Here is a 27751-nt window from a genome sequence, read left to right as displayed (position 1 = left end):
CACATATAAGTATATATGGAATGAATGCATCTTAGCTTTGCTGCTTATTAGATATGGTCCTTGAAAAAATTACTCGGGCAAGTTTGTGAAAGTGCCTGGCACAAGGTGTTTCGCAGAAGCAAAAAGCCGTCTTTTTCCAGTCACAGCTATTCAAGGTATAGTAAGTGAATCAAATGAGCCCCTTACCTCCCATCTACATATTCCCCGATATATTTGCTCCCTGTGTACTCCATGGCGCCTGTTTTTAGCTTCCAGCTGTTAGGATCCGGAGTCTCAGTGGATACGGCATCACTATGACAACCTGGAGGGGTGGGCGGAGCCGAATCGAAGCCCCACCCCGCTGGAGGCTGAAAAGTTCTTGGTATTGCGCACGCTCCCTCGCTCGTGGTTGGGCAGGGCAATACGCCTGCGTGTTGCCGGATGCGCATGCGCAGGCGCCGTGTGGCACTCGGCGGTCGAAAGGGGAGTTCAAGGAGACGGGGGCGACGCGGCTGAGGGCTTCTCGTCGGGGTCGGGGCTGCAGCCGTCATGCCGGGGATAGTGGAGCTGCCCACTCTAGAGGAGCTGAAAGTAGATGAGGTGAGGCTATCCGGAGGACAGGCAAGGGAGACATGGGGCTGCGGCTTCTCGGGCCTGGGCCTAGCCCCCCTTGGGCTCCGCGGATCCTGGGACCCGGGCCCCCCTCCCCAGTCCTCCAACGCATATACAGGTCGACCCCCGGAGGTCCCCTCCGCAGCTTTGGGAGTCGCCTCCCCTCTCTACCCCACCCTGTCGCATCTTGCAGTGGCTCTAGAATCCTCCCCCTTTCGCCCTCCACAGCGACCTATTTCTCCTTCCGTGAATAATAGTGATACATTTTATTAAGCACCAACCAGTCATTTTACTTAGCTTATGTCGCTTAATCCTCAAACTTGCATGCGAGGTGAGTATACAACCCTAGGGGCTCACAGTCGAGGGAGACGGTCATCTACCTTAAAGTGGTATCACCGGTGCAGAGTGCATAGAGTGGGGTGACGAAGCCGCGGGAAAATGAGACAATATTGGAGCGTGCATCTACTCACAGCCTTGGGAAGGTGTTTGGTAACAGGACCCATTTAAAGCATTCGTTTATTCAAGAGATATCATTTCAGTAATTAACGTGTACACATAACGCTGGAAGAGATATACTTCGTGCTTTCATGGACTTTACAATCCAGTAGGGAGACAGACACATAAAGAGGCAGTCACAGTACAATGTAGTTAGTGCTGTGAGGAGTGAAGTAGAAACATACCCTACTAATTATAGCTAACATGATCAAGTCCTTTCTAGATACCAGGCAGGATGCTAATTACTTTCCATGCATTAATTCATTGAATCCTCCCAGCAACACTATAAGGTAGGATATATATATATATACACACACATACACATATATATACACACACACAATTGGTGTGTATATATATATACCATATATATATATACACAATTGGTGTATATATATATATGTATATACCATATATATATACACACACACAATTGGTCATATATATATATATACACACACACACACAATTGGTCGTAGCGTTATAAATAAGGAATTAGTCCCCGAGAGTAGAAATGATTTGCCCAAGGTCACGGAGCTCGTAAGTAATAGAGCTGGAAGTGAACCCAAGTCTGATTTTAAAACCAATGCTTTTCCACTATATTATGGGTGAAAACTCACAAGAATGAGACGGCCTAGCAGAACTTGTGTGTTTAGGGAGCCAAGTACAGTTTGATGTGACCCTAGTGGTGGTGGTGGGAAGCAGCAGGTGCTGAGCCTGGAGAGGCAACTTGGGCTGAGATAGGACTTGGAAGCAGCTTCTACAAGGCCAGACCAAACAGTTTGGACTTGATCCAGTAAGGGAGGTGGTGGGAAGAGTGGAAGGTTTTAAGGCAGAGGAGTGTCATGGCAGGGCTGGATAGTAGAACAGGCTATATTAAAGGAGAGGAAGGCCAAGACTAGAAATGATGTACCAGCAATGATATACCCGGCACTATGTTAAGTGTTTTGTTTGTTTGTTTTGTTGTTTTTGAGAGTCTCGCTCTGTTGCCCAGGCTGGAGTGCAGTGGCGCGATATTGGCCCACTGCAACCTCCGCCTCCCGGGTTCAAGCGATTCTGCTGCCTCAGCCTCCCGAGTAACTGCGACTACAGGCGCTCATCACCACACCCGGCTAATATTGTGTATTTTTAGTAGAGACGGGGTTTCACCGTGTTAGCCAGGATGGTTTCGATCTCCTGACCTCGTAATCTGCCTGCCTCGGCCTCCCAAAGTGCTGGGATTACAGGCGTGAGCCACCGCGCCTGGCCGTATGTTAAGTCTTCTACCTGCAATGCTTCATTTAATCTTAGATGCCTGTGAGAGTGGCAACTGTTATTTTCCTCAGAGGAAGAAATTATTAGCTATGTTCAGGGACTTTATTATATTAAAGTGACATTTACTCTGAGGTGGCAGAGGGGAGCTGCCATGTGGCCCCCACTCTTTTGTTCCCCCCGGCGAACCACCCCCCTGCCCCCACCCCATGTAGCTGGGTTAATCTTGAGTTGCTGTATTTCTTGTTGCAATTTTTATTAGGTTCAACAAACATCTGAAGTTCTACTTCATACAACTGATGTATCTGAAATACATTTGCCTTTAGTCTTCACACAATTGAATGAACATACGAATAATTACATAAATAACTAAAATACAAGACAAGGTGTGATTAAATACTATGAAAGGGGGAAGATGTGGTTTAGGAAAAGATTTGAAGTTGTATCTAAATTCTAGGCCTACCTGCCGGTCACCTTGATTACTTGATTTTAGCATTTGCAGACATGGTTATTTGTAAGATGAGGTGATCCCAGCTATAAAATTCTCTGAAACTATAAAGGGAATAGAGAAAGCACTTTTTGGACATAATGTAAGACATGACTAAATGGCATATGAAGAATGGCATTTATGGGCGGAGATGAAGAGAAGACCCCTCTAAGTGAGGGTAGGGTCTGAGCAAAAGTAAGGAGATGGGAAAATGCAGAGAGTCAAAAAGGAGTTCAGTGTTTTGAGAGAACAGTAAATAGTCAGTCCCTTTTTGAAATGTTGTGGTGAGAAGGGTGGAAAGATAGTTTGGGTCCAGAAGCCTTTCAGTACCCGTTAAGAAGTTTAGGCTTTATTCTGCTGTTAAGGCTGAATGAGAGTTTGGTTGCTAATATAATAGCAGAGTAAAATAAGAATTGTCATTTAGGGAGATCACGGTAGCAGCTGTGTGAAGAATGGATTGAAGAAAGAAAAAGAAAAGCAGGGAGACTAGTCTCAGTGGCTCTTAAAATTATTGAGAAAGATGTTAATGATCCCAGTGTAATTGGTGCTTACAGAGACTGTGCTTACAGAGAGCAAAGAACAAGTATATCTAGAATTGATCAGACTTAGCAATGGATTAGATATTGGAGGTAGGGAAGGTTGAAGAATCAAAGTCAGATTTGCAGCGTGGCAATAGTACTGGTGAAGCCAGAAAAAGGAGCCCGTTTGGAGAGCGAGTTAAATACATTTTGGACCTCATTGGCTTAGGAGTTATGACACATCCCCATTGAAAAAGCAGTCAGAAGCTTTGGACTGGAAAGTCCTTGGACACATTTGATAATTTTGAGTAAAAATAAAAATAGCTAATATTTATGGTGTGCTTTCGATGTGATAGGCACTGTTCTTATTATTTTTATATATATTAACTCATTTAATCTTCATAACAGTTCTATTAAGTACTATTCTCTGTTTTACATAAATTTAGGAAAACTCAAGGCATGGTATAAATAAAGTACTATAAAAAGAGGTACAGACGTAGTTTAAGGAGACAAGGACAGGACTAGAAGGTTGATTGGCTCTAGATGGTGACTTTGTCTCAGTTTCCACACCTGCAGACTGTGTAGCCCTGCTGTGCAATGAGGCTGTTGTGAGAATAAATGAGAAGGATGTTGAAATTCTGTGTTGTTTGAGACAAAGAGATCTGAATGAATTTGAGACGGTATTCATGGTAAACAGCTGTGAAAGGATGTTGTTTCTGTTGGAATTCATCAGTCTCAGTGAAGAAGCAGGTGAGGGGATATGGTGACATCTCAGGCTCATCCACCTCAGTGATGGTGATATAATGGGAAGAAGCCTGGTTGGAGGTCACAATCTCTGTGTTCTAGTTCTGGGGTTGCCACTGACTCACTGTGTTGTCTCTAGCACATCCCTCTTTTTCATTAATTACGAAACAGACTCAATGTCTTCCTTTATTTTCCTGTGACAGGGATGGTGTTTTATATGCTCAGCAACATGTGTATACCTTCATTTTGATAAGATTTCCACATTTGTAGGGAAATAAATAATGCGTCAGTCTTTTTGGGCCGTATAGTTTTGGGCCTTTGAATAATTGAATCAGCCAGTTAAAGCTCTTTTAAGGCATATGACAAGTAAATATAACTGACTTAATTATTAAAATATATTAAGCTTTTAAAAAAGTTTGAGTGTTAGTTTTTATTCTCCTAGCTGTTTATAGGTAATAAAACAAGCAAATGTGTGCCAGTTTACCTAAATAAATTCTTTTATTTTCAAAAACTTTAATATGAAAACTTTACAGATTTTAAACATAAATTTATTAGAGTCATCATGGCAGATTTCACTTATGTCATAACTTTATCTTTGATAATTATAACAGTTGCACTATTAATAGACATAGTCATAACTTTATTCTCCTTTCTATAGTGTATAGATTAATTACTCTTGTCATCTTTCCTTGCCTTTTATTAATAACCTAGCTGCATAAAGTGCATAAAAAATAAAATTACAGCTGGGCGTGGTGGCCCACGCCTATAATCCCAGCACTTTGGGAGGCTGAGGCGGGAGGATCATCTGAGGTCAGGAGTTTGAGACCAGCCTGACCAACATGGAGGAACCCCGTCTCTACCAAAAATACAAAATTAGCCGGGTGTGGTGGCGCATGCCTGTAATCCCAGCTACTCAGGAAGGCTGAGGCAGGAGAATCACTTGAACCTGGGAGGCAGAGGTTGCGGTGAGCCGAGATTGCGCCACTGCCCTCCAGCCTGGACAAGAGCGAAACTCGGTCTCAAAAAAATAATAATAATAAAATAAAATAAAATTACAGACTGTTCTCACACAACAATTTTTAATTTTACAAATCAAATTCAGTAGAGTATTAAAGCATAATACACTGTGACAGACTAGATTTTATTCTAGAAATACATTGGATCAGTTTTACAAAATCTGTTAATGCTCTATGTTACATTTATAAATTAATGAAAACGAAGCCTAAAAATTTTAGTCTTTTCTGGTATAGAAAACAACAGTAAAGCAAAACTAATTAGAATTAGAAAGAAGCTTTCTTAACAAGGAATATCCAAACAACTATATTCCAGATACCAACAGCAAATATTATACCAAACTTGCTTTTAATTTTAGAAAAAGGGAAGGTTGTCTGCTGTCATTGCTCTTCGTCTGTATTGTCCTGAAGGGGTTGGTTAAAGCAATAAAATAGGAAATGAGAATAAGAAGAAAAAAATAAAGTAGCAGAAGGGAAAGAGACAGTTTTTATTTGTAAATGGCAGTTTTTCTGTTAATCTTCTTGAGTTTTGTGTCAGAACTAACAAGAGTTCAGTAAGATGGCTGGAGAGAAAATACAGTATACAAGCAAGCAGTAAACAGTTTGAAAGTCTAATAGAAAAACTATCCTATTTAGATAGTATCAAAAGTGCTAAAATACTGAGGAATAAACAAGAAATGTTCAAGGTCCCTATAATGAAGGAAACTAGTTTTAACCAAAGGACAAGAATGACTTGAATATGAATAAATGGAGAGAAATACTGTGTTGTGGATGAGAAGGTGTGATTGATGTATTCATATCTGTTTTCTAATTATTGTATCCCCATTTTCTAGCAAAGAGTGGGTGCTCAACAGCTACTTGTGCTAGACACTATTTTGGGTGCTTGGTGTGTACCGTAGTCAACATTATATTTAATTACCATAGCTTAATTTGGGGAGAATTGATATCTTTACAGTAGTGGATCTCTGTTGAAAACAAAATCCCTTCCCTCTGGGAGCTTATGTTCTAGTCACACACAGACCACTCAGGGGCTCTTAAAATTATTGAGAAAGATGTTAATGACCCCAGTGTAATTGGTGCTTAACACAGAAACTGTGCTTACAGAGAGGAAAGAACAAGTATGTCTAGAATTGATCAGACTTAGCACATGAATGCTAAGACCAGACCACATGAGTGACCACTGATGATAGCTTATATAAGATGATTAGAGAGAGGCTCTCTGAGGATGTGAAGTTTGAGCAGGCACCCAGTATTATAAAAACTGCCCATTGTTCCCTAATTTAACATATAACTAAATTTAATACAATTTGAATGCAAATTATTGGGGGAAGGTGTTCATCTGAAAGAATAGCCAAAAAAGTTTTGAAAAGGAAGAATGAGGAGGATGGTTCTCCCAGATAACAAAATGTTATCTTCAGTGACAGTAATTAAAACATTGTGGTATTGGTATAAGAAAAGGTAGTACAGAAAAGGGACCACAGGTCTCTTGCTTAAGCAGCTGTTTGTAGGCCCTGGACAGTTTGCAGTTCTCTCTGAGCTGGCTATATCTACACTGTGTATCTTCTCAAGAAAATATCACTAAAATACTATTGAGCAAAACTGGTGGGCATAGTTAAAGGGGTGGCAACCTTGGATACGCTCTGATTTTTAAAAAATTTGCAGATTTTAGTACTTTATTATTAGTTATTACTAGATGGACTATTACTAGATGGACTATTACTAGATGGACTAGATGCTCTTTGTGATCTCTTCCAGCCTCATCTTCTGTGACTCCGTAGTCCTCTGGGAGTTTTATTTATCCTTTAATTTAATTTAATTTAATTTAATTTTTTTTTTTTTTGAGACAGAGTCTTGCTCTGTCACCCCGGCTGGAGTGCAGTAGCATGATCTTGGCTCACTGCAACCTCTGCCTCCTGGGTTCAAGCAATTCTCATGCCTCAACCTCCCTAGTAGCTGGGATTACAGGTGTGCACCACCACGCCCAGATACATCTCTAGTATCTTTACTAAAGACAAGCTTTCACCATGTTGGCCAGGCTGTTCTTGAGTTCCTGGCCTCAAGTGATCTGCCTGCTTTGGCCTCCCAAAGTGCTGGGATTACCTGTATGAGCCACTGTGCCCAGCCTTATATATCTATTAATTTTATTCCAGCAGCAGAAACTCAGCAAAGCTCTCCAGAGTTGGTTCCTCTCCCTGCATCCCAGAAGACTCCATCCTTCTCTACACCCCTTTTCTCTCTACCATAAATAAAGATTCTATTAGGGGTGCCATTTCTTCTGCTCTAAAATGGGAATATTAATCTCTTCATGAGACTATTGTAAAAGTGAAGAAAATAATATATGTGAAAGAGCTTTGCGTTCTCTAAATCACCATAGATTTTAAAGAATCGCTGGGCGAGGTGGCTTATGCCTGTAATCCCAGCTACTTGGGAGGCTGAGGCAGCAGAATCGCTTGAGCCTCGGAGGCCGAAGTTGCAGTAAGCCGAGATCGCGCCACTGCACTCCAGCCTGGGGAATGGGAGTGAAACCCTGTCTCAAAAAAAAAAAAAAAAATTATTATTATGACAGTGTTTAATTTTCTTGGTAAAGTCAGAACAGTGCTACTTTTGTGTTCTCTATTCTGACCCGCATGAGGTAAAGCTGAGAAAGTGGTATTCTGGTTCACAGTCTGTGGCCTTTGTCCCATCTTTCCTTTCCTAGGTGAAAATTAGTTCTGCTGTGCTTAAAGCTGCGGCCCATCACTATGGAGCTCAATGTGATAAGCCCAACAAGGAGTTTATGCTCTGCCGCTGGGAAGAGAAAGATCCGAGGCGGTGTTTAGAGGAAGGCAAACTGGTCAACAAGTGTGCTTTGGACTTCTTTAGGTAAAAATCTTTGGTATCAGTGCCTACTTGGTTGAAGCATAAAGGTTTAAATGAATAAGTGAACAGCCAGCTAATAATCTGGATTTTATTAGGAAGTACATAGGCTTTGAAATCAGACCAAGGTAAAACATTCAAAGGATGATAATTATTTTTGGTTTTGTTTTTATTATCTGGCAAGTTCTTTTATCTCCATGAATCTCAGTTTCCAAATTGTAAAATAATACCTATCTAGGTTTGCTAAGCAAGTGACTGGTGACCATTTTTGCTACAGCAAGGGGAAAGTCTTTTTGCTGTGAAAAATTTGAAAAGGCACGTAAAACAACCTATCACAGTCCTTTTTAAGCAGGCATTCACTAGGTTGTTGTCATTACTACAGAACACAGGTATGATGGAAAGAAAACTGTATGCGGAGTTAGGTTTTACGTAGGTCATTGTGCATGATACTTAAGTAAAAAAAAACTAAGCTGTGTAATTGTAGGAAAATGTTTTAACAAGCATATTAGCACTCTATTTAAAAGGAGAGAAAGTCAACTCAAAGGAAATTGGCTCTTGTAACTCTGAAGTCCAGAAATAGGCCTGGCATCAGGCAGGGCTGGATTCAAGGGCTTAAATAATTTCACAACTACTTGATGTCTTTTTGCCTCTCCTCTTTTCACAATCTCTTAGTTCTGGTTTTCTCTGTTGACCTCATTTTGGAAAGACTCTCACCTTGCTGTACCAAAAATGGCCACCAGCCACTCGAGTTGCTGTTCTGTTGATACTTGCTTAGCAAACCTAGACAAAGTGTGCCCTTTATCCAGAAGTGAGCAGAAGCTCCTGGACTGAGTCTAATTGTCCTGGCTGGCGGACTTCGTATACATATCATTGCATCACTTGTGCTTCAGGAGATAAAAAGCTCTGATTGCTCAGGCCTGAGATGGGGAGTGGACTTAGCTTCATCCAAACCACATTGCTGAGAGACAGGGAGGGGTTGTTCCCAAAGGAAAATTAGAAGGATGTTACGGAAGAATGGGGAATGACTGCTGGCTAGGCAGAAACCACCGATGTCCACTACAATGAAGTTAGAGAAAAAAAATAGATACCTTAGCACAGTAGCTGCTTTCCTCCTTTCTTGCTTCTGCTGTCTCTGTCCCTATGCAAAGATATTTTTGTGGTTATAATCATAGTATGTATACATTGAGAAATTCATTTTTCACTTGATATTATTGGAAACACTCTTCGAAGTTGCTATATAGTCTTCATGATCATCTTTTTTTTTTTTTTTTTTTTTTTTGAGACGGAGTCTCACTCTGTTGCCCAGGCTGGAGTGCAATGGTGTGATCTTGGCTCACTGCAACCTCTGCCTCCTGGCTTCAAGCGAGTCACATGTCTCAGCCTCCTGAATAGCTGGGTCTACAGGCCTGCGCCACTATGCCTGGCTAATTTTTTTGTATTTTTGGTAGAGATGGGGTTTCAGCATGTTGGCCAGGCTGGTCTTGAACTCCTGACCTCAAGTGATCCGCTCTCCTTGGCCTCCCAAAGTGCTGGGATTGCAGGTGTGAGCCACCGCACCTGGCCGTGATCATCATTCTTAATGGTTATATATTATTCCATCAGTGGATAAACCAACCATAACGTACCTGACCAATTCCTGTTATTGAACATCATTGTTGATTTCAGTTTTTGATTATTTTGGATAAATCTGCAGTGATTACCTTTGCGTATAGATCATTTTCATCAGTTAATAATTCCTTGGCATAAATTTCCTAACAGTGAGTTTACTCTATAAAGGGCTTTGAACATCATTATGGCTCTTGAACTGTATTGCTTTTTTTTTTTTTTTTTTTTTTTTTTTGTGATGGGGTGTCACTCTGTCGCCCAGGCTGGAGTGCAGTAGCACGATCTTGGCTTACTGCAAGCTCCGCCTCCCGGGTTCGCGCCATTCTCCTGCCTCAGCCTCCCGAGTAGCTAGGACTATAGGGCACCCAGTACCACGCCCAGCTAATTTTTTGTATTTTTAGTAGAGACGGGGTTTCACCATGGTCTCAATCTCCTGATCTCGTGATCCACCTGCCTTGGCCTCCCAAAGTGCTGGGATTACAAGCGTGAGCCACCGTGCCCAGCAAATGCTTTTGTTTTTTAAATGTTGGATCAATTTATGCTGTCCTCAGCGCTGGATTCTGGTATGCATAGTATTTAAATATTTGGGAGGTGCAAATATTTTTGGATGTTTCAATTTGCATTGATTTGATTGCCAGCGAGATTGAGTCTGTGTGTGTGTTTATTTAAACAATTTTTCTTTTTTTTTTGAGACAGAGTCTCACTCTGTCACCCAGGCTGTAGTGCTGTGGCGTGATCTTTGTTCGCTGCAACCTCTGCCTCCTGGGTTCAAGCGATTCTCGTGCCTCAGCCACCTGAGTAGCTGGGATTACGGGTGTGTGCCACCTGCCTGGCTAATTTTTGTATGTTTAGTAGAGATGGGGTTTCGCCATGTTGGCCAGGCTGGTCTTGAACTCCTGGCCTCAAGTGATCCGCCTACCTTGGCCTCCCAAGGTGCTGGGATTACAGGCATGAGCCACAGCATCCAGCCTAAACAATTTTTATTTTCTAAGAGAACTTTTGCAAAGCATTTTTTCCATGGTCCAGTGGTAGTACATTTTAAGCGGGGAATGTTTGGATTTCACAAATTCCCAAGGTGAATCCATAGAGGAATTTCTCACTGCTGAAGTTGCTGGTTGTAGGCATTAGTAGATAATTGTTAGGTATGGGTAACAGGGTCCAGAACAGGGATCCATGCTACTAGAGTAGTGGCTTGCAGCCCGTCTGCTGCTGCTGCATTTTGGAGGAATATAAAACTCCCATTGGAAATGGTTGCTTTCTACCAAAGTGATTCTTGAGTAGAAGTTATGTGGGTGCAGGTTATGCTTAGTATACCCGGAAGGGAAACCTAAGAAGCTGGTGACATTGGTGGACCTCTAGGAGAGCAACTGAGTGGCTTATTGGGCAGGGTGGAAAGCAGATTTTTCACTGTATACTTCCTTAAGCCATCTCTGAGATCCTTCCTTCCTGATCCATGTTAAACAAGATTCATGTGAGAGTGTAGCTAGATTTCTGGAGTATGACAGGTAAGCACTTAAATAATAAAATTATTATTTCATTGGGAGAAAGAGGTGTTCTGAATTTCACTGCCTCAAGTATGGCTTTTACATAAAATGATGATATTTTATTCTTGCTTGAACATGCATACTAGTAGGGTTGAATGATAAGATAAGGAGGATTTTGCAAAAAACTGAAACTTATTCTTTTTATACACAGAAGTTAAATTTTCTCTAGCCATTTTTGATGGCCACAGAATGAATTATATGCTACCCTGCTTCTTAGCAGAGAATACCAAATATAATATAACTTTGTTCTTGATAGCAAGGATTAATATCTATTTTTGTTCAATGCGTAAATAAAATGAGGACCTTGAGCTTTTGAGGAGTGGAGTACAGTTTGTCTTTATACTGAATGATCCCAGGATCTTCTGCTTGTTAGTTTGTGTATTTGCTTTTTATAATTCTGTCTCTTCCTTTGCCATTGTCTGTCACGTTTGACTTCTATCAGCATGTCCATTATTTAATTATGCCTCCTCCTCTTCTAAATTTGCTAAGCTGATACCCTTAGAGGAATTGGATCTAAAGAAAAGAATAAATAGGCCCCAAGTAAGGAGTTCCTCTCTGAGTAAAATAGGCGTGCATTAGGCTACACTCTTTTCTTCTTACTATATAAAGAAATTAGGTTTTCTACCTCAGAAATCTTTTTTGTTTACTAACTTGTTCTCAACTTGAGGATCCTGAAGTTGTCTTGTAAGTGAGATAAGAATATGTACTCACATACCTTTCAAAAAGCAAGGCTATGTATTTGAGATCTGTACCTATTTTTTTCTCACTTTTCTGTTTTTCATTGTTTTGCAAAGAGATGCCCCTAACCCAGCTTTCTTTTCCAGGCAGATAAAACGTCACTGTGCAGAGCCTTTTACAGAATATTGGACTTGCATTGATTATACTGGCCAGCAGTTATTTCGTCACTGTCGCAAACAGCAGGCAAAGTTTGACGAGTGTGTGCTGGACAAACTGGGCTGGGTGCGGCCTGACCTGGGAGAACTGTCAAAGGTAAAAAGGCTTCTGCTGGAGGTCTCACTTTCTGATTCAGGGGTGGGATAAAGGCAGGAGGTGGTCAGCAAAGGGTCTCTGTAAATACAGATATGATGTAAGAACTTACCAGATTTACCAAACATATTAATTAGGCAGTGATTATACACAATCCAGAAAGGAATTTTTAAAAATAGAAATATTTCTGGCTGGGCGTGGTGGCTCACGCCTGTAATCCCATCACTTTGGGAGGCCGAGGTGGGCAAATCATGAGGTCAGGAGATCGAGACCATCCTCGCTAACATGGTAAAACCCCGTCTCTACTAAAAATACAAAAAATTAGCCGGGTGTGGTGGTGGGCGCCTGTAGTCCCAGCTACTTGGGAGGCTGAGGCAGGAGAATGGTGTGAACCCGGGAGGTGGAGCTTGCAGTGAATGGAGATTGTGCCACTACCTCCACTCCAACCTGGGCAACAGAGCGAGACTCCGTCTCAAAAAAAAAAAAAAAAAAAAAAATTTCTTTAGGCCTTCTAGCATGTGCAGGTTTGTTTTTAGTTAATTAGCTAATTAAAGAACAGAAGGGAGTAGAGAAAGATAAAGTATTAGTGAAACACTGTCAGTTGAAAACATTGTGGAGGTTATTGTGGAATTCACTGGGGAAATAGGATCAGGCTTATGCCACATTTTTCAGGAACATATCTAAGATTTTTTTTTTAAAACTACATTCTTGTACTTTTAAAAGTGTTTCTCTTTCTCCTATATTTCCTATCTTAGTTTTGACACCACCATCTGTTGAAACATCAGAGCTAGAAACCTGAATTCTTCATTCCCTACTGATTCCATGCAGTCATCACTTCCTTTAGATTAGCATCTTCTGGAATTTTTTTTTTAATCCTCTCATTGTTCCTGCTGCTGTTATCTTATTCTTGGACAGGAGTTCTTAACCTGGGGTACATGAATTTCTGGGAGAGGAGGGTGGATCAATGTGGGCTTTAGATGAAATTGAAGAATTGAGGATTAAATTACACCTCCACAAGAAGAGTGATCTGTGTGGAAAACAAATCTTATGTCACTGTGTTTTTAAAAACTGTACGGGGACTCTCCATTGCTGGTGAGATAAAGCATCTTCTCCATAACATGGCATGCAGGCCCTTTATGATCTGACCCATCCCTGCTTCTTCAGCCTCAGCTCCCTCTGTTCCCTGTGGAGCAGCACAGGTAGCAAGGCATGGAGGAAAAAACTCAGGTCTTACTCTCTCTCCTAGGCTGGAATGCAGTGGTGCGATCACAGCTCACTGCAGCCTTGACTTCCTGGGCACAGGTGATTCTCCCACCTCAGCCTCCCAAGTAGCTGGGACTACAGGCACAGGCCACCATGCCCAACTAATTTTTGTATTTTAGTAGAGACAGGATTTTGCTATATTACCCAGTCTGGTCTTGAGATCCTGAGCTCAAGCAGTCCTCCCACCTTAGCCTCCCAGTGTGATGGGATTACAGGTCACCATACCCGGTCTAGTTCCCTTCTCTTTGTGTATAGCATCTGTGAATGGTTGGATTATAAGCTTGGTGTCATGAGTAATAACTTAGCAATTTTTTTGTCTTTTATATCTGGCTTGATTATTTTCAGATACTTTTTGATGTACTGAACATATTATTTTAAATAGTTGATAATTCTAGATTGGAAAGTGGTAGAACTTATACATGTAACAAATAAAACTACCTTTTCTCATTTCTGACTTATGAAAGAAGAAATAACAAGTCATGCTAGTAAGAAAGCATATTTATTCTTGAATCTTTGTATTAACATTTTTTAAAACTCTGTGAGATAAAAAAAAAATTCTCTTAACTCTTTTCAAAAGTGTATTTCTCGATCAGGTGCCATGGCTCACACCTGCAATTCTAGCACTTTGGGAGGCTGAGGCAGGAGGATCGCTTGAGCTCACGAGTTCAGGACTAGCCTGGGCAACATTTTTTTTGTTTTTCTTTTTGAAGTGGAGTCTCACTCTGTCACCCAGGCTGGAGTACAGTGCCACGATCTCTGCTCACTGCAACCAGTGCCTTCCGGGTTCAAGCAATTCTGCCTCAGCCTCTTGAGTAGCTGGGATTACAGGCACCCGCCACCATGGCCAGCTAAATTTTGTATTTTTAGTAGAGAAGGGGTTTCACCATGTTGCCTGGGCTGGTCTTGAACTCTGACCTCAAGTGATCCACCTGCCTCAGCCTCCCAGAGTGCGGGGATTACAGGCATGAGCCACTGTGCCCAGCCAATTTCATAAATGTCTTTAATTCCTTAAAGGAGCTGCAAATACCAAGGAACCACTAGTGGATCATTAGGAACCATCTGTACTTATGACAGGGCGGTGGGATAACTTTCAAAAGCAAACAAACGAAACTAGTAGACTTGAAGACTTAGGTTCCAGCTTTAGCTCTGACATTAGTGTGTATCTTATCTTAGGCATGCCAACCTCCCTGGTCTTCATCTGTGCACTAGAGATAATAATGCCTCATAAGGTGGTTATAATAATAATTGGGTGATTGTATACACAAAAGCTCTGTTCCCAATAAAAGGTTTCTGAATTTATACATCTAGGAAGATGAATCTGGTCATTTTACATGAGGTGACTTAAGAGTTCAGCCCAGTAGAAGAATAATCAGAAGACTGCTGACAGCTGTGGCCTTATGTCTTCTTACTTCTCTGGGCCTATTTCTTTATCTTTAAAATGACAGCAGTTTCTGCTGGCTTTCCAGTTGAGATTTTTGTGACCATCAGGGGATACTGTGAGTGTAAATTATCTCTCTCCCTGTTGCAGTTTAGTACTTCACCACTCTCCTGGCTTATTGGCTCAGCTCCCCAATTTGGGTCTTGCCTCTCTCCACTTTAGCTTTCACACTTCCCAGCCTACAGAGATGGGATTTAGTTACTGCCGTGCTTCAGTGGCACCTGTTAACCGTCAGGTTAAAACGCAAACACCTTTGCATATCATTTAATACCCTTTATCATCTGGCCTGTCCACCACTGTAGTGTGGTATTAAGAAGCACAAGCTTTGGAGTAGGCATATCTGGCTTTGTGTACAATTTCTTCCACTATTAGCTAGGTGGCCTCAGTGAGCCCCTGCAGAATGACCTCCTAAGAGTGAAAATGGAATGGAATCATGTGCTCAGCATCATTTCTAGCAATAAGTTCTTGGTGAGATGCTTCATCTCCCTCCATTCTTCATGCAGCCTTTGATTCAGCCATTCTGAAGACATGCCTGCCTATCTTCATATGTAGTCTTTCCTTGGAATGTCTTTTCCTCCCTTGCCTTTCTGACTGGCTCCTGCTCAGACTTTAAGCTAAGTCTTACCTCCTTAAAAATATTCCAGACCCCCAGCCTTCAGGATGGGTTAGATGTGCACAGTCCTTGCTCCTATAGAGGCAGTTCCTGTCTCCATCATTGCCATTAGCCATCAGGGTGATTTGGAAATCTTGGTTGTTATTCCTGGCTTTCTCCCTCACTAGACTGTGATCCCCTTGAGGACAGTATCTTGTTCCCTTCTGTATCCCTAGTTTCTACCACATGGAATGACATAAAGTAGGCTTTCCTGAGTGTTTGTTCAATGATTAAATACGTCTGAATGTGATTTGCTGGGAATTTAAGTCGGGGAGCAGTTGTAGCAGCGGGAGCAATGAGGAGACACCAGGAGGCGCATTGATGGTTACAGATTCCTCCACCCTAGCTTTCAACTTTGCTTTTGCCCTCTTCACCCTTCCCAGGTCACCAAAGTGAAAACAGATCGACCTTTACCGGAGAATCCCTATCACTCAAGACCAAGACCGGATCCCAGCCCTGAGATCGAGGGAGATCTGCAGCCTGCCACACATGGCAGCCGCTTTTATTTCTGGACCAAGTAAAGATGGGTCCGTGGCCCACACTCGGTCATGTGCTCAGACAACGACTGATGAAAACGCCCATGCGGTTTGCATCGACTGATAGTGTGTTCTTTCCGGGATCACAAACATTAACAAAAAAGTTAACTTATGTGACTTGGCAGTTATTCTATACCATTTCCTGTCCATTAAAATTTTTAAAGGAAACGGTTGTATTTTATTATGTTTTATGTGACCTTTTGGCCTTTAAAGATGACTTCCCCTTGCTTTTTTCTTCTTGTGGTCCTGCCTGTTCCTCTTGCTTTGCTTTAGGCACTCGCTCATGTGGCTGGGGATCCCTGTTAGAACAGGCAGAAGTGGCCATGTGAAGGAAAGGCTTTGTTACTTTAGGCAGCTCCTTGGGGTGTGTCTGTGTTCACACATTTTGAAGTCTCAGCTCTCTTTCCTTCCATCCAACGTCTTAGGCAAATAGATTTCTCTAAAGGTCATACAAGGGGAGCCTCCAGGATAGAAGTGCAGAAACTTCTTTGAGGCATGACTCGGAATGGGAGGGGCCCCTAGCAGGGTCTCATGCAGTCTTGCTCAAAGTTTCTTGAAGAACCGAACTTCCACCACTTCCCCTTGATATCCCATCCTCAAGCATTATAACCCAGATGTTTTTCCTGATAGACAAGGGAGGTGGAGGCTGAACTTCCAGCTCCAAAGCCAGGAAGTCTGGAGGTCTGAGTGTCAATTCCAACCTTGGGTGTGTTCCTTAACCTCTTGCAAGAGGTTGAGTTTGAGGACAAACTAAAGGGCACATGCTTATCTACCTCCTGGGCAGGTTAAAGCCACAAGTGTTTATAAAGCTCTTTGGTTCAAAGCACTATTATGTCTTTTTTCCCCTTTCATTCAATTCTTTTTTCACTACTAGGCTGTTTCCTCCACATCTGACTGGGTCATTTTATGCCTTCTGGTTATGGCTTTAAATTGCGTATGACCCCGCATAAGTCTTCTCAGCTCCCTGGGCCTTGGTTACCTCTTTGCGGCACTCTAAAAAGCAAAGCAGTTGGACAAGAGTCTTTGTAAAGGCCCTTCGAGCTCATTCTAGATTTTCTAAGTGGGGAGATTGCTGTGAGGCACCAGGCAGATGAGGTGCAGGGTCTGTTGCCTGACGTGCTAGGACAGTTCAAAGAAAAAGCACTGTGTGATCTGCCATGGCCGCTTCTGCACCTGGTGCTGACCCCACATCCGGAAGCATTTTGGATGCTTCCAGCAGAACCCCCACGTGTTCTGCAAAAGTTACTTGCCAACCAACTTTTGCCTCAGATTCTCTAATGAAAAATAAGACTTTTTTTTGCATTTTTTTCAATAGCTGAGGCAAAACCCACTAACGTTTTGGTGGCCAAGTAATTGGAATTCCCCTCTGGTGGGTAAGGTATGAGCATGGCTGCAGATTGGTGTTTATATGATACTTCAACCCACATGTTGCTTCCTAGGTTCCTTCTGCAAAGGAAGCTGGGCCTTGCATAAATAATAATATTGTGCACTGTGCTAAGTGCTTTACATGTTTCACCTCCTTCAATGCCCAGAGTCCTTTGAACGAGGTACTACAGGTCATATTCATTTTACAGATGAAGGAAGTTAAAGTTTAGCGAGAGGTTAAGAAGCCCCAGTCTCATATATAAGAAGTGGTAGATACAGGATACAAGTAAAGATTGTCTGGTTCCAATGGCCACACTCCTATTCTTCAAAGCCATGCGTGGTTCTCAGCTTTGAGTGCACATTGGAATCACCTGAGAGGCCTTTAAATCCTGATGTTTGGATCCTACCCGCAGAGATTCTGTTGTAATTGGTGTGTAGTGTGGCCTGGGCTTGGAATTTTTGAAAGCACTCCCAGCCTATTCCGATGTGAAGCCAAGGTGTAGAACGACATACTGATTTTAGACATGAGGAAGCAAGTACAGGAGGCTACCTGCTAGTAAGTAGTAAGTGGCTAAGCTGAGATTTAAACCCAGATACATCTGATTCCAAAGCCCCTACTCTCAAAATAAATGGGTGTATATGGAGATCCTAGTAAAATGATTTTGATTCAGTAGGTCTGCGGTAGGTCCTGAGATTTCTAATAAGCTGTTTCTTGGTGCTAAGGGCACTGGTCCATAGATCACACAGGTAATGAGGGAATAAACCATACCGTCTTTCTGAGAAGGATCTATGACTAATTTACCTGCTGCAACTTCTAGCACTGTTCACTCCCCAAATGTTAATTCACCTCTTTAGAACCAGAGCAACGCGTCTTGAACTGTTAATGGTTTCAAATTCAATTCTAGGATGTAACTTTTGCCCAAGTTGGACAGCAGTTCTTGCCTCCCCCCTCCCCACCTTGCTTTGAATTCCTTGAACAAAGAAACTGACTTTTGGCTTTCCTGTACTCGCGATGGGATTACACGACATCATAGCCTTCTAGGACAGAAGAGTCTAAGTAATTAAATATAATAATTTCTTAAGTCTCTCACAACAAGTGCCTGTCTCAATTTCAGTAGGTAAAAGGTCACAGAACAATTGGAAAGCAGTTAGTGGGAAGGATTCCTGAACAGGACTTCAAATAATAGAAAATCTTCCTGGTGGTTTGGCTTGAGAATAATGAGATGAATTCCTTATATCCCCAAAGGAAATTTATCTGACTCCTTTCCTCTGCCAAGCCTGTTCCTGTCTTCCCTATCTGAGTTAATGGTGTCTCCATCCTCCCAGTGTCAAATAACCTGAGATGCATCTTTGACTCTTCGGTTTACTCCAAGTTCCAATCCAACATCAAGTCCTGTTGAGTTTCTTCTGTAATCGCTCTCATTTGCTACTTCCTGTTTTATCTCACTGTCACTTTCCTAGGCTGTTTTTGTTCCCCTTGCCTGGATTATTAAATGACTTCCTAAGTGGTCTCCCATTGCCATCTCCCTCTCCAGTCCATCCTCAAGTTTGCTCCACGTGCCTCTGCTACTCAGAAGCCTTCAGGGGCTCACGAATGGCTGCTAACTAAAGCCCAAATCCTTACTGGCATTCTGACACTCCATAACCTGGCCCTAGCCTAGCCCATTTCCCCATCATTATCTTACTTCTTCTTATGTAGCCTATACTCTACAGCATGCTATTCATCAAGAATTTTTAGATCTTCACGAATGCTATCCCCTTGCCAGGAAACAGTCCTTCCCCGTAGCTGCCTCTTGAAAGTCTACCCATCTCTAAAGGCAAACACGAATGGTGTCTTTCCCAGGAAGTATCCCCTTCCTACAGCCAAAAATGGTCTTTCCTGCCCCTTTGTTCCCGTGACACAATGTAGTATGATGGTTGGGCATGAGGGCTCTAGAGTTGGGCTGTCTGGATTTGAATCCAGGCTCTGGTCATTTAATGGCTGTGTGACCCTAGAGAAGATACTTAACCTTTCTGTACCTTATAGTCCTCATCTGTAAAATAGAAGGGGAAGGAGATGACAGTAATAGTACCTGCCTTCTGGGATGGCTATGAGTATATAGTGAGTTACACACACAAAATGCATAGTAGAGGGTTGATAAATGGTAGCATTGTTATAAGACTGTATTTGAGTAACACCTGTCGTGACCCTGGCTGTGTCTTACCTCTCCTGTTCTCAGTGCTGCAAGAGTTGGACTTCTATCTTATTTCTATTTCTATATCCTAGTGCCCAGTATATGACAAACATCCAGGAAATGATTAACTGTACACGAAGTTTACCTTTCCAGAGGACTTCCAAACCCTTTACGTGCTGTAAAACCACAAACAAAAAATTACTTGTAGGTAGAAATGCGAGTAACTCTTTGAGGTTACATTGCCATCTTTGTAGATATCAAATCCTAGCTGAAATGCTTTGGATATAATAAAGGATTTTTTTTATGCCCTGAAATGGATCATGACATACTTGGGCTTTAAAAAGCTGCTTCTCCTATTTAGGAAGTCTCAGTTTGAGGTTGTGATGCCTTTATGTGTCTTGATTATTTGTGATGTGTGTCACAAGTAATTTAAGTAAGATATTGAAATTTGCAAATTTATTTACTTCTAAAAAATAAGACAGATTCCAGAGACTAGGGAGTAGCTAAGTAAGATGTCCCAGGCTTCATGTATGAAAACTGGTAGATCTGGGAAACAAAATGAAGATTGTCTGTGTGCTTGTCCTTCAAAAGTATTAGAATCTCAGCATTGGATACACATTGGAATCACCCAAGGGGATCCCGAAATACTGATGTCTGGATCTCACCCCCAGAGATTTGGATTTAATTGGTCTGGGGCCGGGCGCGGTGGCTCACGCCTGTAATCCCAGCACTTTGGGAGGCTGAGGCAGGCAGATCACCTGAGGTCAGAAGTTCGAGACCAGCCTGGGCAACATGAGGAAACCCTTCTCTACTAAAAATACAAAAATTAGCTGGGCGTAGTGGTACGTACCTGTAATCCCAGCTACTGGGGAGGTTGAGGCATGACAATCATTTGAACTTGGGAGGTGGAGGTTGCATTGAGCTGAGATCATGCCACCGCACTCCAGCCTGGGTGACAGAGTGAGAATCTGTCTCCAAATGAAAAAATAAAAATTGGTGTGGTGTGTGGCTTGGACATACAGGCGCTGTAATAAGTACTATCACTCTTGCTCATTCATACTCATAAATACTTTGTTCAGTTGGAGAAAAGGGGGTGTAGTTGCAGCTAGAACTCTGGAAACACATTAAGTAGTTAATTCATTCAATCAACGTTGGTTTTGCAGCCTGCCTTTCTAGACATGGGTAGTGAACAAGACAAGGGCCCTTCCCTCATGGAACTTCCATTCCATTGGTGGAGGCAATAAACAGGCAATTCAAAAACAAGATGATTTCAGGTTGTGATAAATCCTGAGAAGGAACCAAACAGGGTTAATATAATAGTGACTAGCTAGGGGGTGAGGGAACGTTTAAGAAGACAGGCCACAGAAGGACTCTCAGAGCAAGCGCAGTTTGAGCTTCCTCCTGGAGTGTGAAAAGGAGCCAGCCAGTGAAAGAGTGGATGGAAGAGTGTCCCAGTCTGCAGGAACAAACCTTTTGGCAGGAGCAAAACCCCAAGGCAGGGCAGGGCTCGCTGTGCTTCAGGAACAGAGAGGAAACTCGTCTGCCTGGAATGTGGTTTTGTGTGGAAGAGCCTAATGCAGGTCACAGCCTATCTATAATACTTCCACCTTTATTCTCATAGGGACGTTTCCTGCCATAGGTGTCTCTGCAGTCTGCTGGGTAAAGTCCAGCCTCCCCAGTGTGACAGTCAGTCTCCTCACAGTGTGACTCAGAGCGCTCCAGCTTCATCTCCCACTACTGTCCCCCAACACTCCATCCGTGTTGAGCCCCACTCTGTGCCTTTCCTCTTGCTGTGTCCTCTGCTCAGATGGCCCCCCCCCCACCTCTTCTTGGTGATCTCTTTCTTGGAGATTCAGCTCACATTTTGTCTCCTTTGTGAAGCGGCTGTCAACATCCCCACCCCCAGCAAGAGAATCACCTCTTCCTCCGTGTTAGAAGCACCCTGCGCATGACCTGCCTTGTATAACACTCCTTGAGAGCAAGAACTGCATCTCCTTTGCAGTTGTATCTTCTCCTTCATGTAACAGCAGCCGACACATAGTGCCTGATAACTGTTTGTTGAATGAATGCAGCACAGCCATCACCTCTGCAAAAGAGAGTAGCCTAGTTAATCGTTCAATGTATATCAGGTCTATACAGAATAAACACCAGGGCATTTTCTATGCAAAACGAGGCCCGGGATTTTACCTTAATGATTAACGCCATTGGAAAAGATGGGAGACTTGCAAGCTTTTTGCTTTTGTTTTCTCAAAAAGGAAAAAAAAGAAGCCCAGAAATCCGTGTCACAGTCTCAGTAAAAATGCTGTCTGTGAACTGAAGGGAGATGGTTGCATAAAAGGTCAAATTAGGCTGCGGTAATAAGAAATATAAATTACATGCAAGAAATATAAATTGCATGCAAGAAATATAAATTGCATGCCAGTATTCCTTTAATTTGAGGGTTGAATGCAAATTAAGCAGGCATACCCTTTCTGGAAGCCTTGTTTTAATCAATTCTGCTGCTCTGATGGAAGAGTTGATGCTAGAAAGAAAATGATAATACTGTTCCTTTCCCTTGCTCTCCAAAACTAAGGTATTATGTCATATGACAGTGGTTTGACTTAAAGGCTTTATTTATTTATTTGATTGTTGAACACACAGCACCCTTGGGCTGCTGTGGTTGTTTCCAAGGATCCTAGTGGTGAATTCATACCAAAGAACTTTCCAGAAAGTCCTTTAGCATCTTTTCTTCCATATCACTGTGATGGGCAGCCGGGCAAAGAGGAAAAGCAAGCTGGGCTGCTATGCTGGGCTCCGTCTGTGACCTTGTTATGTGGCCTTGGCAAGCCACTTTCCCCTTTCAGCCAGTTTCTTTAGCTGTAAAATAAAGAGTTGGACCAAGTAGGTATCCAAGCTCTTTTCCAAGTCAAGAAATATATGAAACATAGTTTCTCTATTAGCCAGCTTGCTGGGGGAGACAGTGGAGTTTTCATGTTTTCTTGAAATAGACCTAATCACCTGGGCAATTCATTCTGGGAATTTCATTAAAATGAGAAGAGCATTTTGGGCTTCTGTTTTAAATAGATCACCCACACTGACATTTGAAGGACAAGATATGGAAGAGATTCTAAGATTTTGTCAACCACTTCCCTCATTAGAAATCATGTGGCTAGGCGCGGTGGCTCACGCCTGTAATCCCAGCACTTTGGGAGGCCAGGGCAGGTGGATCACTTGAGTTCAGGAGTTTGAGACTAGCCTGGCCAACATGGTGAAACCCCATCTCTACTAAAAATACAAAATTAGCCGGGTGTGATGGTGCACACCTGTAATCCCAGCTACCCCAGAGGCTGAGACAGGAGAATCACTTGAACCCAAGAGGCAGAGTCTGCATGAGTGAAGATCACTCCACTGCTCTCCAGCTTGGGTGAGACAGAGTGAGACTCTGTCTCAAAAAAAAAAAAAAAAAAAAGGAAAGGAAAAGAAATTGTTTCATGTAACTTTGTTGCCGTTTGAGGCTGAGTTTGTTTAGAGGATTATTATGAGGGCTTTGATCTTAAAAGTTAGAAGAGAAACCTTTCGGAGATCATCCACTACTTGAACTGCCTTTTGATTGGGCCAAATTCGATCTGAATTTCTGCCCTCCTGCATTCAGGCTGGCTGAAACTGTGGCTAGTGCTATTGTGTGGAGGAATGGATCGGGAAGATTAAACTACAAGAGTGGGGAGCAGTGCTTGGGACCTTGGAGGAGACCTGAGCATCAGAAGCCTAAAGGGCAGGAGTGGGATCAAAAAGTTGACAGAACCGAAGCAGAAAGTTGGGAGATAAACACCCAAATACAAATAGCTGCAAAGGCAGCCGGGCGCGGTGGCTCACGCCTGTAATCCCAGCACTTTGGGAGGCTGAGACGGGCGGATCACGAGGTCAGGAGTTTGAGACCAGCCTGGGCAACATGGTGAAACCCTGTCTCTACTAAAAATACAAAAATTAGCCAGGCTTGCTGGTGGGCGCCTGTAATCCCAGCTACTCAGGAGGCTAAGGCAGGAGAATCACTTGAACCCGGGAGGCAAAGGTTGCAATGAGCCGAGATTGCACCACTGCGCTCCAGCCTGGGTGACAGAGCGAGACTCCGTCTCAGAAAAAAAAAAAAATCTACGAACGCTATGAACTGACAGTTTGCAGAACAGAGCATCAGAATGGCCAATAAACATGTGAAAGATGTTTAACCTCAACAGCAATTAGAATAATGCAAAGTAAAACCATAAAAGATGCCATTTAATTAGTTCAGCAAATGTGTAAAAAGTTGATAATATTGAGTATTGACCCAGAAGTGGGAAAGTGCATACTCTCCTATGCTACAGGGAGGAGTATAAATTGTTGTATTGATACATTATGTTTGGAAGGTAATTTGGTACATCTATCAAAATATAATGTGTGTACCATTCCTGACCTGTAAACATTCATACCACAGAAGCACTGATTCAAGTACGTTAAGCTGTGTACAAGGATGTTCATTTGGCATTGCTTGTAAAAAGTGAAGAGAGAGAGAGAAAGAGAGAGAAAAAGCTTCTGTTCATTAGTAGTGAACAGTAAATAAGTTGCAATAGAGCCACACAATGTGATCCCGAACAGCTGTGAAAAGGACGAAAGTGACTCTATTGACATGGGAAATTTCTATGAGGTACAGCTGTCTTGTATGTCAAATTACATGGCGATTATTTGTTTACTGTTCTATTTACCTCCCTTTCTTGACTTGAGCTTCTCAAGGCAGGGACTATGTGTATTTTATCTCTGGCAGAAGCAGAATTAAAACCCAGGGCTAGGCCGGGCATGGTGGCTCACACCTGTAATCCCAGCACTTCGGAAGGCCAAGGTGGGAGGGTCACTTGACCCCAGGAGCTCAAGACCAGCCTGGGCAACATGGTGAAACCCCACCTCTCCAGAAATGAAAAAATTAGCTGGGCATGGTAGCACGTGCCTGTGGTCCCAGCTACTCGGGAGGCTGAGGTGAGAGGATCCCTTGAGCCCAGGACTTCAAGGCTGCAGTGAGCTGTGGTCACGCCACTACACTGCAACCTGGGCAGCACAGCGAGATCCTGTTTCTAAATAAATAAATAAATAACCCATGGCTGTTTGGCTGCAGAACCCGGGCTCTTTGCTTCCCTCTTAGTTATCAGTTTCGAGTTGGTGAATTGGATGATTGGTAATGGAAGCATGAGGAGAGACAGGAGAGAATATGGAGAGTGAAGTGTCTCGCCCAGGCCATGCAGCTCTAAGCATATTATGGTCCAAAAAGCCACTCTGTCTGGTGACTCATGAGACAGTTGAGTCTTCTGTCAGACTTGAGAAACACACTTCACTTCTCTGAAGTTTATTTTTCTCCTTTGAGAAATGAGAATAACAACAGTGCTGCCCTTCTGGGGTGGTTTTGTAGATTCCGTGACAAGATGACTATACATTGCCTTGCACCAACTAGGTGTGCGGCCAATGGGACCCCTCAGACTGACAAGTGCCCCCAGCAGGGGGTTTTGAGGCAAGGTGGACAGGCAGAGAGCTTTTCCAGGCAAGAGGGAGGGGCTGGCAGAACACAAAGCCCCAGCCACAGGCTGTCTGAATGGAGGCCCCCAGCACGGGGGCCCCCTGTTGAGTCAGCCTTGGGCTAATTGGTGGACAATGGCATTAATGAAAAGACCGTGTTTCTTGACAAAAACATCCACCCAGCTTCCAAGCCTGGACACAGCTTGAACCCGTTGTGCAGCTCTCCGCATTTGGGGAGGATTCCAGCCTGCTGGTGACGTCAGCAGGCAGTCGCCCTCTCGTGCCGGGTGAGGGCTCTGACCCATTGCCAAGTCCAGTGTCAGGAATGGTCCGGTGTCAGAGGACTGAACTAACTCATGGAGTGTCGGAATTGTGAGACCCCCAGAGAACCATAAATTCCCTTTACTTCACAGATGGGGAAACGGAGGCCCAAAGATCGGAAGGGTTCAGATAGTAGTGAAATTAGGATTGAGCCTAGACTTCTGACTCCCTCACTGTGGACTACCTGTGTGGCTGCAACTCAATATTAAAAGTTGTGCAGAGTTGGATGCCTGCACAACTTTTAGAGAGGATGGGCTCAGAGGCAGGGGAGCTGTGTAAGCAAAGATATGAAATAGGCCTGTAGAAGGCCATGGTGGAAATGATAATTACTGACGCTTATTAGGTACTTGCTGTTTGCCGAGCACTGCACCAAGTTTTCTACATTTATTGGCCCACATATTTCTCACGATGACTTCATGAAATAGGCGTTCCTGTTATTCCCGTTTTATGGATGAAGAAGCTGATGCTCGGAAAGGTTATCTCATTATCGCGGGTCACACAGCTATATATAGTAAGTGGTAGAACTGGGATTTAAACCCAGTTTTGTCTGATTCCAAAACCGTAAGTCTTAACCTACCATACGGAGATAACACATGCGGAAATGCTTGACACTTAGTAGGCATTTGGAAAAGGTGAATTGACTCTGAATCATGAAAACTGTCAAATCACATTTTTCAAGCCTACCACGTGCCAAGCGTTTCCACGTGAGTTATCTACGTGTGGTGTGTTGGCCACCAGCCCTACTACTGTTATCACCTCCTTTGATCGATGTGCCAGCTCTGCTAGGTAAGAATCTGTTCCCCAAGTTTTAGATGGAGAGCTCAGGCCCAGAGAAGTTAGGTGGCCTGCCCGCAGAAACACAGCTGGCTGGTGGCAGAGGCATCAGACTCAAAGAGATAAGCATAAAGGATGGCCTGGCCGGGTCTCAGGAGGTGGGGAGGGATGGGGTAGGACCAGGCGCAGGGCACCAGCCCCTTCCTGGCTTCCTGACAGCGCTATTGTTTGAAGCCGGTTCTTGGACATCCAGGAAATGGGCGACATCACTCCCAACAAAGGGGAGGAAGCTGCTTGAATGTCGCAGCTCCACCTCACGCGCTCGCCCTGGGGCTGGAGATGGGAGCCTGGCCAAGGCTGCCTGACCCTTCAGCTCAGCCAAGCCACCCAACCCCCACCCTCAGATCTGGCCTGTTCCCTCTCCTCTCTGCCAGTCCATTCCAAAACTTCAAGCCCTGACCAGCAGACCTGCCTGCCATAGAACGCATCCCCTGATGCGTTCTCCACTGATTCCCCTGTTTCTGAGAGGCTCTGCCTCCTAGAATCCTGTTGGGTGAGATTCACCTTCCACCATGCCTCATGGTTGGATAGGAGATTGCACCTTTAATTCTAGGTCTCAAGCCTGGCCTCAGTTTCCTCATCTGTCTGGAGGCAGAGCTGGTCAAGTGGGACTGGTCTGAGTCCTCTCGAAGGGCTCTTTGCCTCTGTACTTCTGAGTCTAAGCACCTTTCCTGCCTGGATAAGGAGGAAGCAGTGCCATGGACAGTACCTGGGGTCCCAGAAAGAGGAGAGAGAGGAGTTCCAGGTAGCAGAGCTGTCACTGAGAGGGGCACCAGGCAATTAGGTAAAGCAGAAATCAAGAATGGTCTTTCTACTGGCATCTGGGATCGGAGGGACCTGGGTTCAATTCCCAGCTCGGCCACTTATTTATTAGCTGTGTGACCTTGAGCAAGTCACTCCAATTCTCTGAGCCTTCATTTCCTCACCCATGAAATGCAGGAAGTAAGGTCTACTTTGCAGAGTGGTTGTGAGGATTAGATGGAACCATGGGCATGAAAGGGGCCCGAGGCTAGTGGCAAACGTGGTGCCTTTTCCCTCGCTAGGGGTGACTTTCCCAAGGACTGGAGAGAGATGGAGAAATAGACACTGCAGCATCATGGTGAAGAAACTCAAGCCCTGGTGGAGCTGGGAGAACAACGACACTTCTATTTCCAGTCTCTCCAAGAGCATGCGTGAAGCCAGGCCCATCTGTCTGTGGGAGAGGTCTGTGCCATGGTATTGGGCAAACTCACAGGTCACCGTAGCCCAGGATTGCAATGTCCCAAAAGCTTGTCTTGATCTAGACTAGAAACCACAGCCCAGCCCATGCGAGCAGGATGTACCCTTAGGGTCATCTGGCTTATCCTCTAATCTAGGGGGCTCAGACACAGCAAGTGACCCCTTGCCCCAGTCCCCCTCCCCCAGGTCACACAGCCAGTCAGGATTGGAACACAGGCCTCCTGCCTCCAGTCCAGGGCTCTTTCTACTGAGGAGGGACCTGGGATTTAGGAGGCGCCCCCACCTCCCCAGCTCCAGCCTGAGATGAAGGCCAGATTCTTGTCAGCAAGTGGAAGGGAGGCAGGG

At 43.6% G+C, this 27751-nt stretch overlaps 2 protein-coding genes across 4 annotated transcripts in view, besides 3 other annotated features; one reads left to right on the top strand and one right to left on the bottom strand.

Annotated features, from left to right (window-relative positions):
• Window positions 1-298, bottom strand: part of MORN5 (MORN repeat containing 5) — a 40176-nt gene extending 39878 nt beyond the window's left edge. For both annotated transcript variants that reach the window (NM_198469.4, NM_001286828.2), the window contains exon 1: window positions 187-298. In NM_198469.4, coding sequence (NP_940871.2) covers window positions 187-233 — 47 coding nt within the window. In that variant the 5' untranslated portion in view covers window positions 234-298. The remainder of the gene's footprint in view (window positions 1-186) is intronic.
• Window positions 222-516: an enhancer, noted in NCBI's record as "tiled region #3979; HepG2 Activating DNase unmatched - State 1:Tss, and K562 Activating DNase matched - State 1:Tss". NCBI's record gives its function as "activates a minimal TATA promoter and a strong SV40 promoter by Sharpr-MPRA in HepG2 and K562 cells {active_cell/tissue: HepG2 | K562}" and the evidence as "EXISTENCE:reporter gene assay evidence [ECO:0000049][PMID:27701403]".
• On the top strand, window positions 427-27740 carry NDUFA8 (NADH:ubiquinone oxidoreductase subunit A8). 2 transcript variants are annotated; one of them, NM_001318195.2, is made up of 4 exons: window positions 427-579; window positions 7798-7961; window positions 11929-12094; window positions 27232-27740. In NM_001318195.2, exons 1-4 carry the CDS (start codon window positions 529-531, stop codon window positions 27235-27237), a joined length of 387 nt encoding a protein of 128 aa, NP_001305124.1. In that variant the 5' UTR covers window positions 427-528; the 3' UTR covers window positions 27238-27740. The 2 variants fall into 2 exon arrangements, with proteins under 2 accessions (NP_001305124.1, NP_055037.1); NM_014222.3 differs by lacking the exon at window positions 27232-27740 and adding an exon at window positions 15828-16148.
• Window positions 24863-25767: an enhancer, noted in NCBI's record as "NANOG-H3K27ac-H3K4me1 hESC enhancer chr9:124896718-124897622 (GRCh37/hg19 assembly coordinates)". NCBI's record gives its function as "activates a minimal SCP1, AML or CMV promoter by ChIP-STARR-seq in naive H9 embryonic stem cells {active_cell/tissue: H9 hESC(naive)}" and the evidence as "EXISTENCE:reporter gene assay evidence [ECO:0000049][PMID:30033119]".
• Window positions 25883-26422: an enhancer, noted in NCBI's record as "H3K4me1 hESC enhancer chr9:124896063-124896602 (GRCh37/hg19 assembly coordinates)". NCBI's record gives its function as "activates a minimal SCP1, AML or CMV promoter by ChIP-STARR-seq in primed H9 embryonic stem cells {active_cell/tissue: H9 hESC(primed)}" and the evidence as "EXISTENCE:reporter gene assay evidence [ECO:0000049][PMID:30033119]".

The sequence above is a fragment of the Homo sapiens genome, chromosome 9 (genome assembly GCF_000001405.40).
Source record: "Homo sapiens chromosome 9, GRCh38.p14 Primary Assembly".
Taxonomy (NCBI): Eukaryota; Metazoa; Chordata; class Mammalia; order Primates; family Hominidae; genus Homo; species Homo sapiens.
The sequence above is the reverse complement of the archived record's forward strand: the minus strand, read 5'-3'. Positions and strand labels throughout refer to the sequence as shown.

What these genes read in the sequence shown, in the direction of transcription:
- NDUFA8 (NM_014222.3), top strand. Translation starts at nt 529, where the DNA reads ATGCCGGGGATAGTGGAGCTGCCCACTCTAGAGGAGCTGAAAGTAGAT. An exon ending in AGGAGCTGAAAGTAGATGAG is followed by an intron (nt 580 to 7,797) that starts GTGAGGCTATCC and finishes TTCCTTTCCTAG; the next exon opens with GTGAAAATTAGTTCTGCTGT. An exon ending in ACCTGGGAGAACTGTCAAAG is followed by an intron (nt 12,095 to 15,827) that starts GTAAAAAGGCTT and finishes CACCCTTCCCAG; the next exon opens with GTCACCAAAGTGAAAACAGA.